Raw genomic sequence first — 18,869 nt, forward strand, 5'->3', positions numbered from 1 at the left:
AATTAATCCTCCCAATTATAGGAGGATTTTTTTGTTACTTGGCAGCTCACTGAGTTTTTCCAGATCAGGGACAATGAAAGCTCCCACCTACTATAGATTTTTATTCTCCTGGCTGGGTGCAGTGGCTCATAGCTGTAATCCCAGCACTTTGGGAGGTCAGGGCAGGTGGATTGCTTGAGGCCAGGAGCTCCAGCGAGACTCTATCTCAAAAAAAAAAAAAAAAAAAGATAGTGAGTTTTCATGAGATCTGGTTGGGTAGCACCTCCCCTTTCTTTATCCTGCTCTGCCATAATAAGGCGTGCTTGCTTCCCCTTCACCTTCCGCCATGATTGTAAGTTTCCTGAGGCCACCCAGCCATGCTTCCTGTACAGCCTGTGGAACTGAGTCAATTAAATCTCTTTCTTCATAAATTACCCAGTCTCAGGTAGTTCTTTATCACACTGTGAGAACAGACTAATACAGTTACCAAGGGATTAAGATGCAGAATTGTAGCAGGGAGAAGTCAGAATATATGTAGGAGAGAACATCCCACTAATTCTGATGGCTAGAGGGGACTCACAGACCAACTTCTTCAAGGCCTCGTGTCTGGGGATACAGCTGCCACCTGGCTTACCCCAATCCAGCAGGGAAAACTGGAAGTCCCAAGATTAAGAGCAAGCAGCAAGAACTCCATTCAAAATAATGAAAGAAGGAAAGAAAGGCCGGGCACGGTGGCTCACGCCTGTAATCCCAGCACTTTGGGAGGCCGAGGCGGGCAGATCACGAGGTCCGGAGACTGAGACCATCCTGGCTAACACGGTGAAACCCCGTCTCTACTAAAAATACAAAAAATTAGCCGGGCGAGGTGGCGGGCACCTGTAGTCCCAGCTATGCGGGAGGCTGAGGCAGGAGAATGGCGTGAACCCCGGGGGGCGGAGCCTGCAGTGAGTCGAGATCGCGCCACTGCACTCCAGCCTGGGTGAAAGAGCAAGACTCCGTCAAAAAAAAAAAAAAAAGAAAGAGAGAGCGAGAAAGAAAGAAAGAAAGGATGGGGGAGGGAGGGAGGGAGGGAAAGCAGGAAGGAAGGAAGGAAGGAAGGAAGGAAGGAAGGAAGGAAGGAAGGAAGGAAGAGGGAGGGAGGGAGGAAGGCAGGCCTGGGGGCGGTGGCTCACGCCTGTAATCCCAGCACGGTGGGAGGCCAAGGCGGGTGGATCACGAGGTCAGGAAATCGAGACCATCCTGGCTAACACGGTGAAACGCGGTCTCTACTAAAAATACAAAAAAATTAGCCGAGCATGGTGGCGGGCACCTGTAGTCCCAGCTACTCGGGAGGATGAGGCAGGAGAATGGCGTGAGCCCGGGAGGTGGAGCTTGCAGTGAGCCGAGATCGCGCCACTGCACTCCAGCCTGGGCGACAGAGAGAGACTCCGTCAAAAAGGAAAGAAAAGAAAGAAGGAAAGAAAAGAGAGGAGGGGAGGGGAGGGGAGCGGAGGGGAGGGGAGGAAAGAAAAGAAAAGGAAAGAGAAGAGACAGGAGGGAGGGAGGCAGGGAGGGAGGGAAGGGAAGGAAAGGCATTCATGACATAGAATAAAGAAAATAGTAGAAAGTATGAAAATGAAATTCAAAGGAGTCACAGCAGATTTATGGCAGGGGAGGAGGCAGAGATGAGAATGTGATGAGGGTGAGGGTCATAGATATTTCACATTTATTGGGGACTATTTTATTGCATACATATAAAGCCTAAAAGCAAATATGTCAAGACACAGATAACTCTCAATTCCATGAGGCAAGAAAACTTTATACTTATCTATATTTTTAACTTATTTAAAATTTTTAAAAATGGAAGAGATTGAAGTAGAAGGGGGTGCATTCGTAAAGGATTCCTGAAGAAGATGAATTTTGAGTGTGTATGCAATGTACCCCTAAATGTAAAAAATGGACCTTGGAGGAGTTTTCCTTTTGGATACTGTGACAACACAGAAAGAGCAATTAACAGTCCCTGTTTTTCAGAAGCTAGTTTGAAATATAAAAATTAGCTATGTGAAACACTCAGTGACCAATATATACTCAGAGTTTAAAGTTATCACTTATTACTAATAAAAGAGAAAGCAAAAAATTACTCAGAATGAATGATTCGGAATTTTTCATGACCCCACCTCAAATACATCATCTATATTTCTTTCAACTTTCCCACCCACTATCATCTATACCTATGCCATCATCACATAAATGATTCCTTTGGAATGGTCTTAAACTAAAAAAGAAAGAAGGAAGAAAAGGAGGTAGGGAGGGAAGGAGAAAGAGAAAGAATGGGGGTACAAAGGAGGGAGGGAAGGAAACAAAGAGGGACAAAGAGAAGGAGGGACAGAGAGAGACAAGGAGGAAAGAGAGCAGAGAGCTCAATATATGTCCAGGTAACTCACTAATGGGCTGGATTATCTTTCATTCTAGAAAAAAAGGAAAAAGCAGATAAACCCACAATATCACAGTGGACAAAAAGTTTTCTTTTTTGAGGGACAAAAGCAAAAGTTGTCCTAGAAGGATATAAGTCTCTAACCCTGTGACTAAAATATACCAGAATATTTTTGGCTCTTTTGGATTGGCTATTTTTATGAATATATGATTCCAACAAAAATCTTCCCTCCTCATGTTTCTCAATCCTGTGTGTATCCACCGAAGTGCTTGATGTCATTTTTTTGTGTTAGGTCTTTTTCTTTTTAAGAATAATTCATGGCCAGCGCTGTGCAACCCTCCAAGTGTGAAGTGACAGCCTTGTGTGTGACACTTTGCCCTCCCCAAGTTTGCATTTTCGACATTAAAGTTTACTGTTTATTAAAAAAAAAAATTCATGGCCAGGTGCGGTGGCTCACGCCTGTAATCTCAGCACTTTGGGAGGCCGAGGCAGGAGGATCACCTGAGGTCAGGAGTTCAAGACCAGCCTGGCCAATATGGTGAAACCCCGTCTCTAATAAAAATACAAAAATTAGCCGGGCGTGGTGGCAGGCGCCTGTAGTCCCAGCTACTTGGAGGCTGAGGCAGGAGAATGGCGTGAACCCGGGAAACGGAGCTTGCAGTGAGCCGAGGTAGCGCCATTGCATTCCAGCCTGGGCAACAGAGGGAGACTCCATCTCAAAAAAAAAAAAAGAATAATTCATTTCATTATCTTGCTATCTTTGAGTACCGTGGTATCAATTAACAACATAAGCCACAGGACATCTGACAACACAAGATGTTGCCACAGCTGCAGAACTCACCTAGGCCATAAAACTGCATTTACATTTTGTCTTTTAGAGTTTGAATAAAATCTGATTTCATTACTATGCTATTGAGCACATTTATAGTGTGAGCATTCATAAACACCCCTCCATGATAAGATGACTCAATTGCCCTTTTTTCCTGAACTGCTGAAGCCTGAGATGCTACCTGTGAACAGCCTAAAATGTGAGGTCAGAGTCAGGCCAAAAGTATTAAACAGTATGTCTTTTCCAGAGAAAACTTTTAAAAAGAAATTCTGATGCAGATAAAATATTTAAATGAAGGGGGAAAGTAAAAACATTCAAGTCACTCTGAAACTAAATAATGGTAAATTATAACAGCTTTCAACAATACTTAGTTCTCATGAAAAGTATTTACCATGGCAACCATTGCATCAAATTGCTCTTAAACAAGGAATTCAAGACATCTATTGTACAGCATGGTGACTATAGTCAAAGACAATAATATTGTATTCTTAAGAAATGCTAAGAGAGTGGATGTTAAGTGTTCTCACTACAAAAATGATAACTATATGAGGTAATGCATTTGTTAATTAGCTAGCTTTAACCATTCCACAATGTATATATACTTTAAAACATAATGTTGTATAAATTATTATAATTTCATATCAATTTTTTAAAATAAATTTGTTCAGCACCAATAAAAAATAATTTATTTTTAAAATAAATTTTAAATTTTAAAATTTTTAAAATTTTTAAAATTACAGGTGGCTCATGCCTGTAATCCCAGCACTTTGGGAGGCCGAGGTTGGCAGATGACCTGAAGTCAGGGATTTGAGACCAGCCTGGCCAACATGGTGAAACTCCATCTCTACTAAAATTACAAAAATTAGCCGGGTGTGGTGGTGGGTGCCTGTAATCCCAGCTACTCAGCAGGCTGAGGCAGGAGAATCACTGGAACCCGGGAGGTGGAGGTTGCAGTAGGCTGAGATCACTCCATTGCACTCCAGCCTGGGAGACAGAGCGAGACTCCATCTCAAAAACAAACGGCCAGGTGCGGTGGCTCATGCCTGGAATCTCAGCATTTTGGGAGGCTGAGGCGAGCTGATCACCTGAGGTCAGGAGCTCGAGACCAGCCTGACCAATATGGTGAAACCCTGTCTCTACTAAAAATACAAAAATCAGCCAGGTGTGGTGGCGGGCACCTGTAGTCCCAGCTACTCAAGAGGCTAAGACAGGAGAATTGCTTGAACCTGAGAGGCAGAGGTTGCTGTGAGCTGAGATCGTGCCACTGCACTCCAGCCTGGGCAATAGAGTGAGACTCTGTCTCAAAAAACAAACGAACAAACAAAAAAACAAACGAAAAACAAAAAATAAATTTGAAGAAAATTGTTCTTAAACAGTTCCCAAACTATAACAAAAAAGGGAAGCAAGAGAAGGTTATCTCCTAGAATTATATACTTTCCCTACACATGCTTATCCATTTTTATGAACTTAAAAGCTCACCTTAAAAATAATAGCACCCTTTGACCCAGCATGTCACTTGCACTCCTAAGTACAAATATTAGAGAAGCACTCACAAGATAATACGTACATAAACGTACATAGCAACATTGGAATTACAAAAATTTGGAAACAAACTACATTTCCATCAATAAGAAGAAAGTTAAATGAAATATACATATAACTCATACAAACTACACAGCACTTATGAAACTGAATAACTTGAACTACATATAACAACAATAGTTAATCTCACAAATAAAAAGTTGAGCAAAAAAGCAGGTTGAGGAAGATTACAGTATGTAGCACTAAGCCAGACATGGTGGCTCAGGCTTGTAATCCCAGCTACTCAGGAGGCTGAGGTAGAAGGATAGCTTGAGACCAGCCTGGGAAACATAGCAAGACCCTGTCACTTAAAAATGTATGTATACATTTTTTCATATTCATATGAAATATAAATATTTATATATAAATATATATTATCCATATATATTTATATATATATTTATAAAATATGTAGCACTACTAGAAGTATACCAAATAAACATTCTGGCATAAGGTCAATAAATTGAAATCAATATTTAGTTGAGGAGAAAATGAATATCAACATCAAAGAATGATTTCTGGGGTACAAGAACAAACCTGAAATTATGGCCGGGTGCGGTGGCCCACGCCTGTAATCCCAGCACTTTGGGAGGCCAAGGCAAGTGAATCACCTGAGGTCAAAAGTTCAAGACCAGCGTGGCCAACGTGGCTGGGACTACAGGCATGCCACCCTGCCTGGCTAATTTTTGTATTTTTAGTAGAGATGGGGTTTTGCCATGTTGGCCAGGCTGGTCTCGAACTCCTGGTCTCAAGTGATCCACCACCCTAGGCCTTCCAAAGTGCTAGGATTACAGGCGTGAACCACCTCCTCTAGCCTACTGGGTCATTTTAAACAGCAAACTGATACAAAATGTCTTTCTGCTACAGCAATCATAATTAAAGGCAAAAGAAAACAAATAGCTCAGAGAAAAAGAAACTTGGTAGTGTGTCCGAAATTGGTGAGTTCTTGGTCTCACTGACTTCAAGAATGAAGCCGTGGACCCTCGCAGTGAGTGTTACAGTTCTTAAAGATGGTGTGTTCGGCGTTTGTTCCTTCTGATGTTTGGACGTGTTTGGAGTTTCTTCCTTCTGGTGGGTTCGTGGTCTCACTGGCTTCAGGAGAGAAGCTGCAGACCTTTGTGGTGAGTGTTACAGCTCTTAAGAAGGCGTGTCTGGAGTTGTCTGTTCCTCCCGTCTGGAGTTGTTCATTCCTCCCAGTGGATTCGTGGTCTCGCTAGCCTCAGGAGTGAAGCTGTTGACCTTCACAGTGAGCGTTACAGATCTTAAGGGCAGTGCAGACCCAAAGAGTGAGCAGCAACAAGATTTATTGCAAAGAGCCAAAAGACAAAACTTCCACAGTGTGGAAAGGGACCCCACGGGGTTGCCGCTGCTGGCTCGGGTAGCCTACTTTTATTGCCTTATCTGATCCCACCCATATCCTGCTGATTGGTCCATTTTACAGAGAGCTGATTGGTCTGTTTACAATCCTTTAGCTAGACACAAATGTTCTCCAAGTCCCCACTAGATTAGCTAGACACAGAGCACTGATTGGTGTGTTGACAAACATTGAGCTAGACACAAAGTGCTGATTGGTGCATTTACAATCCTCCAGCTAGACATAAAAGTTCTCCAAGTCCCCACCCGCCTCGGGAGCCCAGCTGGCTTCACCTAGTGGATCCCTCCCCAGGGCCGCAGGAGGAGCCTGTGCAGTCCCATGCTGCGCTGCCAGCACTCCTCAGTCCTTGGGCGGTTCGATGGAACTGGGCGCGGCGGAGCATGGGGTGGCGCCAATCAGGGAGGCTCCGGCCGTGCTGGAGCCCACCAGGGGTGGGGGTCTCAGGCATGGCAGGCCGCAAGTCCAGAGCCCTGCCCCGCGAGGAGGCAGCTGAGGCCCAGCGAGCGCTGTGCGGGCAGGCCAGCACTGCTGGGGGACCCAGGGCACCCTCCGCAGCTGCTATCCCGGGTGCTAAGCCCCTCACTGCCTGGGGCTGGCGGTGCCGGCCGGCTGCTCGGAGTGCGGGGCCCGTTGAGCCCGCGCCCACCTGGAACTCGCGCTGGCCCGCGTGCGCCGCGTGCAGCCTCAGTTCCCGCCTGCACTTCTTCCTCCACACCTCCCCACAAGCAGAGGGAGATGGCTCCGGCCTTGGCCATCCCAGAGAGGGGCTCCCACAGTGCAGCGGCAGGCTGAAGGTCTCCTCAAGCGCGGCCAGTGTGGGTACCAAGGCCGAGGAGGCGCCAAGAGCAAGCGAGGGCTGCCAGTACGCTGTCACCTCTCGGTAGCCTGATCGTGATTGAAACCAAATGAACAAGATTCAAATCTGCAGTCGTTAGGGGTAAATAAGATCTGTCTACCTTAAGTGGTAGTAACTTAATATCAAAGGCAGCACACTGGGATGCCCCCTCGCTTCTGTTTGGGCACAGCTTTCTTTTCTACTATTATCTGGTACAAAACTGGTTTTCTGTACATCTCCTCAACCTCTGACCAGAAAGCCTTGGCCCTGGAACCTCTTGGTGATAGTCGTTTGCCTGTGCTAAATAACAACCTCACTTCCTGTTTTCTCTTTTATCTCAACACAACAGGTACAGAGTGGAGGATGTGACAGTTAGAGGGAATGTTGCAACAATAATGAAAGCAATTACTCTTGAGTCTTAGGCTTCCTTGCTCGTTTTCGTTTCAGTAGATTATCTCTTGTGAATAACACTTAAAGTGGACAGGGCTTGTACAGATACCAGGGGAGAAGAAAAGGCACGTGACTCCAGTGTCACTGTCAATGAGCAGCTTGTTTGGCCGCTTCTGGCGTTGGGTAAATTTTTTGTTTTTAACTAAAGCCTTACTTATAATCAGACCCTCAGTTTCTTTCTTTTCTTTTTTTTTTTTTTTTTTTTTTTTTTTGAGATGGAGTTTTGCTCTTATTGCCAAGGCTGGAGTGCAGTGGTGTGATCTTGGCTCACTGCAACCTCCACCTCCCAGATTCAAGCGATTCTCCTGCCTCAGCCTCCGGAGTAGCTGGGATTACAGGCGCCCGCCACCACACCTGGCTAATTTTTGTGTTTTTAGTAGAGACGGGGTTTCACCGTATTGGTCAGGCTGGTCTCGAACTGTTGGCCTCAGTTGATCCGCCCTCCTCAGCCTCCTAAAGTGCTGGGATTACAGGCGTGAGCTACTGTGCCCGGCCCCAGACCTTGAGTTTCTTTTTGAGTTTTGTAATTTTATATCTACTTTATGTCTTTATAAATCTCACTTACCTTAAAGAAAGGCTGAACTATAAGACAGCCAAGATTTAGAAAACAGTATGATTATTTAGGACAGTGAAATGAGGAAAGAAATGAAGTGCTTAGAAATTTTGCTTTCACTATGTGCGGTATGGAATCAGTTCCTTCACAAAAAACTCTCCTACAGTAAATGAATTGCCTTTCATGATATATTTAAATTTAAGTATCTATCCTGCAGCTCATTTTTATAGTGTGTTCTACTGACTTTCCAGCAGAAAATCTGGCTCTTTTAAACATTTTTGCTCAAATAGAAATTAAATGAGCGGTTGCCTGGCGGTGGGGTTTGGGGTGCAGATAGGATTGACTCCTACGGGGTGGGGGTTCCTTTTGGAGATGATGGAAATATTCTAAACTTGGATTTTGGTGGTAGTTGCACAGTTCTATGAATATGCTAAAACCATCGAATTGTACACCTTAAATGGGTGAATTTTATGGTATGTGAATTATATCTCGATAAAGATGGTTTTAAAAAAATCTATTCTGGGCCGGGCGCGGTGGCTCAAGCCTGTAATCCCAGCACTTTGGGAGGCCGAGGCAGGCGGATCACAAGGTCAGGAGATCGAGACCGTCCTGGCTAACACGGTGAAACCCTGTCTCTACTAAAACTACAAAAAAATTAGCTGGGCGTGGTGGCGGGCGCCTGCAGTCCCAGCTACTCGGGAGGCTGAGGCAGGAGAATGGCGTGAACCCAAGAGGCGGCGCTTGCAGTGAGCCAAGATCGCGCCACTGCACTCCAGCCTGGGCGACAGAGCGAGACTCCGTCTCAAAAAAAAAAAAAAAAAAAAATCTATTCTGGAGGAAGAATCTAAAAGAGAGAAGACTGCCATAAAAGAGAAGTTAGAAGTCTCTTAGATTTGAGTGATTTCTTTGCTAAACCGGAGAGGCCAAGAAACCAATGACAGACTTTGAGGTTTTTTAATCCAAAATATCCTGCCGGGTGTGGTGGCTCGTGCCTGTAATCCCAGCACTTTGGTAGGCCGAGGCAGGGAGATCACTTGAGGTCAGGAGTTCAAGACCAACCTGGAAAACATGGTGAAACCACGTCTCTACTAAAAATACAAAAAACTAGCCAGGCGTGGTGATGGACGCCTGTAATCCCAGCTACTCGAGAGTCTGAGGCAGGAGAATCACTTGAACCCGGAGGCGGAGTTTGCAGTGAACTGAGATCATGCCACTGCACCCCAAAACACTCCATCTCAAAAAAATCCTAACATTCCACCATTCTCTCTCTCCACCTTCTATCAAGGTCCTTCATTATTTATCTAATGAGTAATCTCACCCAATACAGCATTGTGATAGACATTGGGGATTCCTGTTCTCTTGCCCTTTTCTGCTATTTAAAGGCTGAAAAGCAAAATTTTCTGTTTTCCTTTTTTTCAGCCAAAGGTGGCCATATGATTTACTTCTGGCCAATAAAATGTAAGGTGTCTCTTTCCAGATGAAAAGGGATAGATACAGCTGGAAGAACCCTGCTTCTTCTGTTCCTGTTGCCTCATCCCCCTTTTGCCTGTCTAGAAAGCAGATGTAAGGCCTGGAGATGCAGCAGCCAATTGGTAACATGAGGTGTCAAGCATGAGGATAAAAGTCCCTAAGCTAGGAAATGCAGAGCAGAAAAACTAAAAGAGCCTTGGCCCTTGGGTGCATTTCTTAGCAGCTACACCAGCATTGCTCAGTTCTTGGCTTCTCAATACCTAAGAAAAATAACTTTTTTTTTTTTTTTTGGGACAGAGTTTTGCTCTTGTTGCCCAGGCTGGAGTGCAATGGCGTAATCTTGGCTCACCGCAACCTCCACCTCCCAGGTTCAAGCGATTCTCCTGTCTCAGCCTCCCGAGTAGCTAGGATTACAGGCATGCACCACCACACCTGGCTAATTTTGTATTTTTAGTAGAGACGGGGTTTCTCCATGTTGGTCAGCCTGGTCTTGAACTACCAACCTCAGGTGATCCGCCCGCCTCAGCCTCGCAAAGTGTAGGGATTACAGGCCTGAGCCACCATGCCCAGCTCTAACTTTTTTGTTAATGTACCGTTATTTGCCGTTGAAACCAATATCCTGTTATTTGTGACCAAAAGTACTTGAATAAAGGCCAGGAGCGGTGGCTCATGCCTGTAATCCCAACATTTTGACGGGCAGATCGCTTGAGCTCAGGAGTTTGAGACCAGCCTGGGCAACATGGTGAAACTCCATCACTACAAAAAATTACCCGGATATGGTGTCACATGCCTGTAGTCCCAGCTACCCAGGAGGCTGAGGTAGGAGAATGGCTTGAGCCCAGGAGGCAGGGGTTGCAGTAAGCCAAGATCTTGCCACTGCACTCCAGCCTGGGTGACAGAGGGAGACCCTGTATCAAAAAAAAAAAAAAAAAAAGAAAAAGCAGTCTAATAAACCAACTCTGAGATGTTCATATTTTACAATTATGTAAAAATGTCAGTGTCTAAAGTGAGTTTGTTTTAATGACCAAGGGCTGCTTCTTGTGCACACAAAAGAGCATTTGTTGTTAATTGGGTTTTTAATTATTACACAATTTATTGAAGAAACAAATTTTTCTTAAATTTTTAAGTTCAATTTAAAATAGTTCAGCTTACATATAGATGTAATAAGTGACATACTAGAGATCCATGCAAAAAGAAAGAAAAAGAAAACATTGTTTCACAGAGAAGCATTTGAGCTAGGCCTTAAATAATGAGAAAAAAAGAAAATTTAAGGCAGAAAAAATAGCACATGGGGTCCTAAAAGGGTGTATTATGTTAGATGTCCACGTGAGGCAGGAAAAATAGAGATGAGGCTGGAAAGTAAACGAAGGCCAAATTGCTTAAGGTCTTATTTAAACCAGACTAAGCAGCTGAAAGTTTATCCTATAGAAAATTGAGGTTGGGCACGGTGGCTCATGCCTGTAATCCCAGCACTTTGGGAGGCCGAGGCGGGTGGAACACTTGAGGTCAGGAGTTCAAGACCAGCATGGCCAACGTGGTGAAACCCCATCTCTACTAAAAATACAAAAATTAGCTGGGCGTGATGGCTGGCGCCTGTAATCCCAGCTGCTCGGGAGGCTGAGGCAGGAGAATCACTTGAGTCCGGGAGGCAGAGGTTGCAGTTAGCCAAGATCACGCCACTGCACACCAGCCTAGGCAACAGAGCAAGACTCTGTCTCAAAAAAAAAAAAAAAAAAAAGAAAAGAAAAGTGGAAACTCTTAAGGGTTTTTTATGATCATATGGGCATTTTAGAAAGATGCTCTGCAGCTGTGAGAAAGAGACTGGAGGAGGCCATAGGTAGAGAGGCTATTCGGAGACGATTATGGTATTAACTAATGATAGAGGACACGAGTTTGAACCAAGAGAAGACCCCACTGCATAGGCTGCAGCAGGCCACTCTTACTACAACACCAGGGCTTTGTTCTAGGTCCTACTGTTCACCACACAGAAACCCAATCACTGGGGCAGTGAGTATTGCCAGGGAAGAAGGCTTTAATCGGGGGCTACAGCCAAGGAATTGGGAGATCAGTCTCAAATCCATCTCCCTGATCAACTAAAATCAGGGGTTTATACAGCAAGGAAGAAATGAAACTACATGCAGGAAAACAGGAATAGAGAGGGGTGAGGAAGAGGAGTTGGTCAACAGGAAGCAGGTGGTGAGTTAGGCAATCATGATGGGTGAGGTGTCTGGCATCTCACTGTCCTGATGCAGCAACCTGGTAAGTTTCAGCTTCCTGATACTATCTGGGAGGCATGACGGTTGGTTTCCTGAGAATGGAACTCAGATAAGACAAATGGAACTTACTCAAGTTTTAAGACTAAGAGGATTAATTCATATGTTTATTCAGAAGAAACTCTAAACATTAGTTGTATGGGACAATTGGGCAGGTTTCACAACCAGGGCAGGCGACAAGTGGGGGACAAAGCAGAGGCTCAGTGTTCACAGTCAGAGCTGAGGGCAAGTCAAGTCTGTAATGGAAAAGGGGCCAGTGTTCCCAAGATGCATTGCCAAGGCTGTGCAGGACCACGGGACCAGTGCCGGACCTGCAGGACCTTCAGTTCACGACCACATGCTAACTGCTACAGGCTGCAGCTTCAGACCAGCAGAGCACACAGAAAACAGGTGGACAAAGGAGAGAGAAGGCGGGGGACCCAGAAGGGGCCCGTGGCTCTTCCTGCTGTGGTGAAGACTCATAAGCCATACTAGTCTCTCTTCTCCATACATCTGTTCACCACGTTAGGAGAAGAAGCAGGAAGACCGGGAGATTATTGAGATAATTCATCCAAGAGAAACTGAACATAGCTAAAGGAATTATGTCAATGATCAGCATTACCATGCTTTAAACCAGACTGGACATTTCAATCATCTTCACCACCACCAACAACAACTAACCAAGTGAGTGGTGGCTTAATAGAAGACCAGAGCAGCTATGGACAAACTGATAGGAAAACCCATTTCATCTGCACAACAAAGTTGGAGCACAAGTTAAATTATGCAACTCTCTTGGGGAGGCCAAGGCAGGAAGATCATTTGAGGTCAGAAGTTTGAGACCAGCCTGGACAACATGGTGAAACCACGTCTCTACTAAAAATACAAAAATTAGCTGGGCATGGTGTTGCGTACCTGTAATCCCAGCTACAGGGGAAGCTGAAGCAAGAGAATCGCTTGAACATGGGGGGCAGAGTTTTCGGTGAGCTGAGATCGCACCACTGCATTCCAGCCTGGGAGACAGAGCGAGACTCCAACTCAAGAAAAAAGAAAAAAAAATTGTGCAACTCTGATACAGAGGCATAGAAAAAGAAGAGTTGAAGATACAAACATTGGTTGATAATATCCAGCACTGTCCAGGGAAGACACTGAATCTGAGGCGCATCAGCAGTTCGTCATCAGAGATGAACTCCCTCTTGTGAAGCATGGACCTTTCCTTGGGCACGTACATTTCCTAGCCAGCTCTTTGCAGCAACTCATGCTCATAAAATGGCCCTTGTTTTTTTTGTTTGTTTGTTTTTGTTTTTGAGATGGAATCTCGCTCTGTCACGCAGTGGCATGATCTCTGCTCACTGCAACCTCTGCCTCCCGGGCTCAAGGGATTCTCCTGCCTCAGCCACCCAAATAGCTGGGATTACAGGCGCCCACCACCATGCCCAGGTAATTTTTGTATTTTCATTAGAGACAGGGTTTCACCGTGTTGTCCGGGCTGGTCTGGAACTCCTGACCTCAGGTGATCCACCCTTCCTCAGCCTCCCAAGGTGCTGGGATTACAGGCATGAGCCACCACGCCTAGCCGGCCGTTGATTGTTAATTCATCTAATTCATCATCACCAGTTCTTCCATACTAGGAAAGGGAGATTAGAACATTCCAGGCCCTGGAAGAGGATAATCTCTTTTAAATAGATAGAATAGGCTTTTATCTTATATACCAGTCCTTAAAAATGTAGCTGGGGTTAGTCTCTAAGCAGGACGAATCCTGGGGCACTGACAATACCGAGTTTCCTGCCTGAAAGGCTGAGGACCAGACCCTGGACTAAAAGGTGAATTTACACCCTGGTGATCACTTGGCTAATTTCTCCCAACAACACCGCCGCCTTCCTGTCCTGTCCCTTCCATCAATGTCATGTCACACTGCGACTCCACCTTGGATGAATAAACAAACTCATGGAAGTACAGCACAGTTTGGCCAGGTGCACATACTTCCTCCAAGTTCCTATTCTTGCCCTGTGACACGCTCCATGTGTGTTGGCCAAGCTGTGGCCTCACAGACTCATCCCTAAATCACCTCCCATCACCTATTCCACTCTATTCTGACCTACTGTCAAAGTTCTGGCTGCTGATTTTTATATTCCTTCTATTTATTTTCCCACTGTTGCTGTTGGATTTGGATTTGCCTTACTCAGAAAGCCCTAAGTGACGCCTTTTCTATTTCAGCCCATCTCCCTCTATACCAGCCCTGAACAGAAGGGCTGTTCTCCTACCCAGCCCTCCCTGGCCTTGCAGACAGGACTTAGGACCACAGAGCCGTCCAGGGGACATTCACCACATCAGAAGAAGGTCAAATTGGCATCAACCAAGCTAGATTCAGCATTAGATGTGGAGGTTCCAACAATCTCCAGAACCTTTGGCCAGGCTCTACCTCAGGGATCTGAGAGCAGCATAATCTACAGAGAGACAGGGACACATTCAGCAGGACTGCTGATTCCCCAGGGAGGCTTTGAGAAAGTAGTGCTTCAGGAAGCAGCATCTGGGAGCTGATGGTGCTCCTATTTGGCAGCACAGAGCTGTCCTGTCCTTCCCACTGTTCCAGACGCAGTGATGATGGAGCGAAGAGCACTACACTGTGGCTGCAGCAGCTCAAGCTCACAGCCAAGTCACACAAGCTCAACATGTTCCCTGCCCATTACATACTATTTGGGGGTAGACATTGGAGCCAGGCAGGCCTGAATTTGAATACCAGTGTGACTCTTTGGCCCCAGTCCTCTTTGAGTCTCAATTTTCTCAGCTATGAAATGACAGTGGTTATACCTCCCTCACAGATTAAACCACATAAAAATGCATAGCATGCACATTGCTTGATACAGCAGACACTAACCAATGTGAATTCTGATTCCTTTTCCTGAGAATCTGATTCCAACCTGCGGCAGAATCTCCAGGATCCTAAAGTAGATGCGCTCCGCCAAGCCATCCTCTGTACTCAGCCATCCTTCTGCCTGGCCCTTAAGGAAGAAGGCCAACCTGAGTCAAATGGGGCTCTTCCTTCAGAGCATGACTGAATAGGCTTCATGGGAAGGAGTGGTGCTGGGGGTGAGGGACTCAAAAAAATGTATACCCCTTTGTTTTCAAACTTCAGTGAGCGTGGTAATCATTTAGAGAGTTTATTAAAAATAGAGGCCAGGGGCTGGGCACAGTGGCTCACGCCTGTAATCCCAGCACTTTGGGAGGCCGAGGCGGGTGGATCACCTGAGGTCGGGAGTTTGAGACTAGCCTGACCAACATGGAGAAACCCCATCTCTACTAAAAATACAAAATTAGCCGACCATGGTGGTGCATGCCTGTAATCCCAGCTACTCGGAAGGCTGAGACAGGAGAATCACTCGAACCCGGCAGGCGGAGGTTGCGGTGAGCCGAGATTGCGCCACTGCACTCCAGCCTGGGCGACAAGAGCAAAACTCCATCTCAAAAAAAAAAAAAAAAAAAATAGAGGCCAGGGCCAGGTGCAGTGGCTCACGCCTGTAATCCCAGCACTTTGGAAGGCCAATGCAGGTGGATCACTTGAGGTCAGGAGTCCCAGACCAGCCTGGGCAACATGGCACAACCCCATCTCTACCAAAAATACAAAAATTAGCCTGGCATGGTGGCACACACCTGTGGTGCCAGCTACTAGGGAGGCTGAAGCACGAGAATCACTTGAACCCGGGAGGCGGAGGTTGCGGTGAGCCGAGATTGTGCCACTGCACTCCAGCCTGGGCAACGAGAGCACAACTCTGTCTTAAAAAAAAAAAAAAGAAAAAGAAAAAGAGGCCAGGGCCAGGTGCAGTGACTCACGCCTGTAATCCCAGCACTTTGGAAGGCCAAGGCGGGTGGATCACTTGAGGTCAGGAGTCTGAGACCAGCCTGGGCAACATGGCAAAACCCCTTCTCTACCAAAAATACAAAAATTAGCCTGGCATGGTGGCACACACCTGTGGTGCCAGCTACCAGGGAGGCTGAAGCATGAGAATCTCTTGAACCCGGGAGGCAGAGGTTGTAGTGAGACAAGATCACGCCACTGCACTCCAGCCTAGGCGATGGAGCAAGACTCTGTCTCAAAAAAAAAAAAAAAAAAATAGAGGCCAGGTCCCTCCTTAGACTTACTGTTATTAAATACAATTTAGAGGAGGCCATTGGTTTGAACTGAGCTCCTGCACTAGGCCTGACAGACCAAACCAAAATAGTCACTCACACTGAAGCTCCACCCCACCAAGTTGAAAATAAATTGTTTATCTGACCTTCCCAGAAATTGAGAGTGAGATAATAGCCCAGTACCCAAGCTATTTGAGCTGATATGATAAGAAAATCTTCTCTACTTTAACCTTTACAAGGAAAGGAAATTTGAAACCACCAATCCACTTTTCATTTTCTGTTTCTGCTTCTCTCCCCACTTCTCGTTTCTAAAGCCAACCTCCTCTGCTCAGCTTATCGGAACACTCATCATATTTTATGGAATGAGGTATTGCTCGATTCTAGAACTGTAAATAAAAGCCAACTAAGATCTTTAAATTGGCCAGGTATAGTGGCTCACACCTGCAGCTCCAGCACTTTGGGAGGCTGAAGCAGGAAGATCACTTGAGCCCAGGAGTTCAAGACCAGCCTGGGCAAAACAGTGAGACTCCATCTCTATGAACAACCATTTTTTTGTTTTCTTTTTTTGAGACAGGCTTTCCCTCTGTTACCCAGGCTGAGTGCAGTGGTGCAATCACAGCTCACTGTAGCCTGGATCTCCTAGGCTCAAGTGATCCTCCTGTCTCAGCCTCCAGAGTAGCCAGGACTATAGGCATGCACCACTATGTCTGGCTAATTTTTTTTTTTTTTTTTTTTTAAGTAGAGACAAGGTCTTATGTTGCTCAGCTGGTCTCAAACTCCTGAGCTTAAGCGATCCTCTCACCTCGGCCTCCCAAAGTGCTGGGATTACAAGCGTAAGCCACCATGACTGGCCTACAAAATTTTTTTTAAGAATTAGCTGAGTGTGGTGGCATGAATCTGTAGTCTCAACTACTTGGGAGGCTAAGGTAGGAGGATCGCTTGAACCCAGGAGGTCAAGGCTACAGTGAGCTATGATGGTGTTACTGCACTCCAGCCTGAGCAACATAGACACTATCTCTAATATATATATAGTCTTGTCCCTTGGAATCGCCTGAGTTATAAGGGGTTTTTTTATATGCTAATGAGATGACTCAAGATTGAGGGGCCCTAGATAGCTTCAGGATGGAAGCTGGTTGCCAGAAAAACCAACCAAGAGATTTGAGGATGAGAACTGTCAGCCCCACTTCCCTAGCGGGTGAGGAGGGATTAAAGGTTGAGTTTCATTATCAAACACAAAGACTTGATTAATCTTGCCTAGGTAATGAAACCTCCACAAAAACCCCTAACCAATAGGTTCGGTGAGTTTCTGGGTTGGTAAACATATTGATGTGCTGGAAAGATGGGGCACAAGAGAGGGCACGGAAGCTCTGCGCCACCCCACCCCCATATCTTGCCCTGTGCATCTTTTTCATTTGGCTTCCCCTGAGTTTTAGCCTTTATAAGAAACCAGTGAGCACATGTAAGGTATTTTTCTGAGTTCTGTGAGTCATCCTAGTGAATTAGCAAACCTGAAAGGAGGTCATGGAAACCCTCACATTTGTAGTGGTCTGGGCAGAAGTGTGGGTAGCCTGGGCACCCTATTTGCAGCTGGTATCTGAAGACAGGGGCAGTCTTGTGAGACTGAGCCCTTTAACTTGTGGGATCTGACACTAACTCCAGATAGGCCATGTCAAAATTGAATTATGGGACACCCAATTGGTGTCATAGATTTGGTTGGTGTGATTGGGTGTCAGAGCTGGTGTCAGAAAAAAACACTGCCCAGGAGCTTGTCACATTTGCCCTCTCCTGACCTCGCCTGGCCCTTGCATAACCACACATCTTTATAGAATGTGGTTAAACTCAGAAGAAACTGCCAATTCCACTGCAATTCTCTCACCTAGATTCAATGTTAGCCTTTTGAAGAGACACAGAAGCGACGCTTACATTTCTCTGTTCAAGCCTGCCCAAGGCAGGGCTGGATTAGCCTGCGGGCCTCTGACCTTCTGACTACAGTCCACACTGCACCCAGTGGGCTGTTCCAACAGACCACGGAGCACAGGGCCTCTGCTCTAGAACAGGGCGGAACACACTTGCTGGCCATCTAATGGACTCACCGCCAGCCCTGACTGTGGAGGGACCCTGTCTTGTAAGCCTGGCCATATGGGGTCTGCCTGGCCACATGAGGTCTGCCAGAGCCGTCCTATCTGGCTAGATTCTTTGCTCTAGTTCCTCTCGGCTTTTTATCAGTAGTTCAGCTTTTCCTAGGGCCGCACAGTTGCTGAAATAAACTTACTCAGCCATTTCCACTTGCACGTGCCCCAGGAGCCCAGGAAAAGGCTCTGCTGAAAAGACTTCCCTCTTGCCCCGAGGTCACAGCCATACTTCTGTCCCAGTGTGTGGTTAAACGCCATCTCCCCTCCTTGCCTTTCCCTCTCTCTCTCTCCTTCTGGAGAAGCCACACAGTTTCATCAATCAATGCCACCTATCTTAGTCCGTTTGTACTGCTGTAACAAAACTACCTGAGACTGGATAATTTATCAACAGCAGAAATTGATTTCTCACAGTCCTGGACGCTGGGAAGTCGAAGATGAAGGTGCCGGAGGGCTTGGTGCCTGGTTAGGGCCAGGTCTCTCCTTCTAAGATGGTGCCTTGAAGGCTGTGTCCTCACGTAGTGGGAGGGAAGGAAGGGCAAAAGCATCTAAGCTGGTTCTCTCCAGCCTCTTATAAGCCACTAATCCATTCATGAGGGCAGAACCTTCATGACGTCATCACTTCCCAAAAGACCTCACTTCTTAATACTACCACAATGGGGATTAAGTTTCAACATGAATTTTAGAGGGGATACATTCAAACCACAGCACCACTCGTCTTGGTGTACCTACTGGCATACTTGAAACCATTCAAAAGGGCTTCATTCTCAGTTTGTTTTTGTTTTGTTTTTTTCAAAAATGTGGCATTTCTTGACAGGAACTGCCTCTGCTACGACCCCATTCAGAACAAAGTTAATCTGGTCAATGAGTGTCTCCCC

The 18,869-nt window shown here is 45.9% G+C and overlaps 2 annotated features.

The window, feature by feature from the left end:
* Positions 7,130-7,642: a transcriptional cis regulatory region, noted in NCBI's record as "candidate enhancer chr2.1526 targeted for multiplex CRISPR interference". NCBI's record gives its function as "positively regulates GALM and HNRNPLL gene expression with high confidence in K562 cells {active_cell/tissue: K562}" and the evidence as "EXISTENCE:mutant phenotype evidence [ECO:0000015][PMID:30612741]".
* Positions 17,584-18,257: a transcriptional cis regulatory region, noted in NCBI's record as "candidate enhancer chr2.1528 targeted for multiplex CRISPR interference". NCBI's record gives its function as "positively regulates GALM gene expression with high confidence in K562 cells {active_cell/tissue: K562}" and the evidence as "EXISTENCE:mutant phenotype evidence [ECO:0000015][PMID:30612741]".

The sequence above is a fragment of the Homo sapiens genome, chromosome 2 (genome assembly GCF_000001405.40).
Source record: "Homo sapiens chromosome 2, GRCh38.p14 Primary Assembly".
Taxonomy (NCBI): domain Eukaryota; kingdom Metazoa; phylum Chordata; class Mammalia; order Primates; family Hominidae; genus Homo; species Homo sapiens.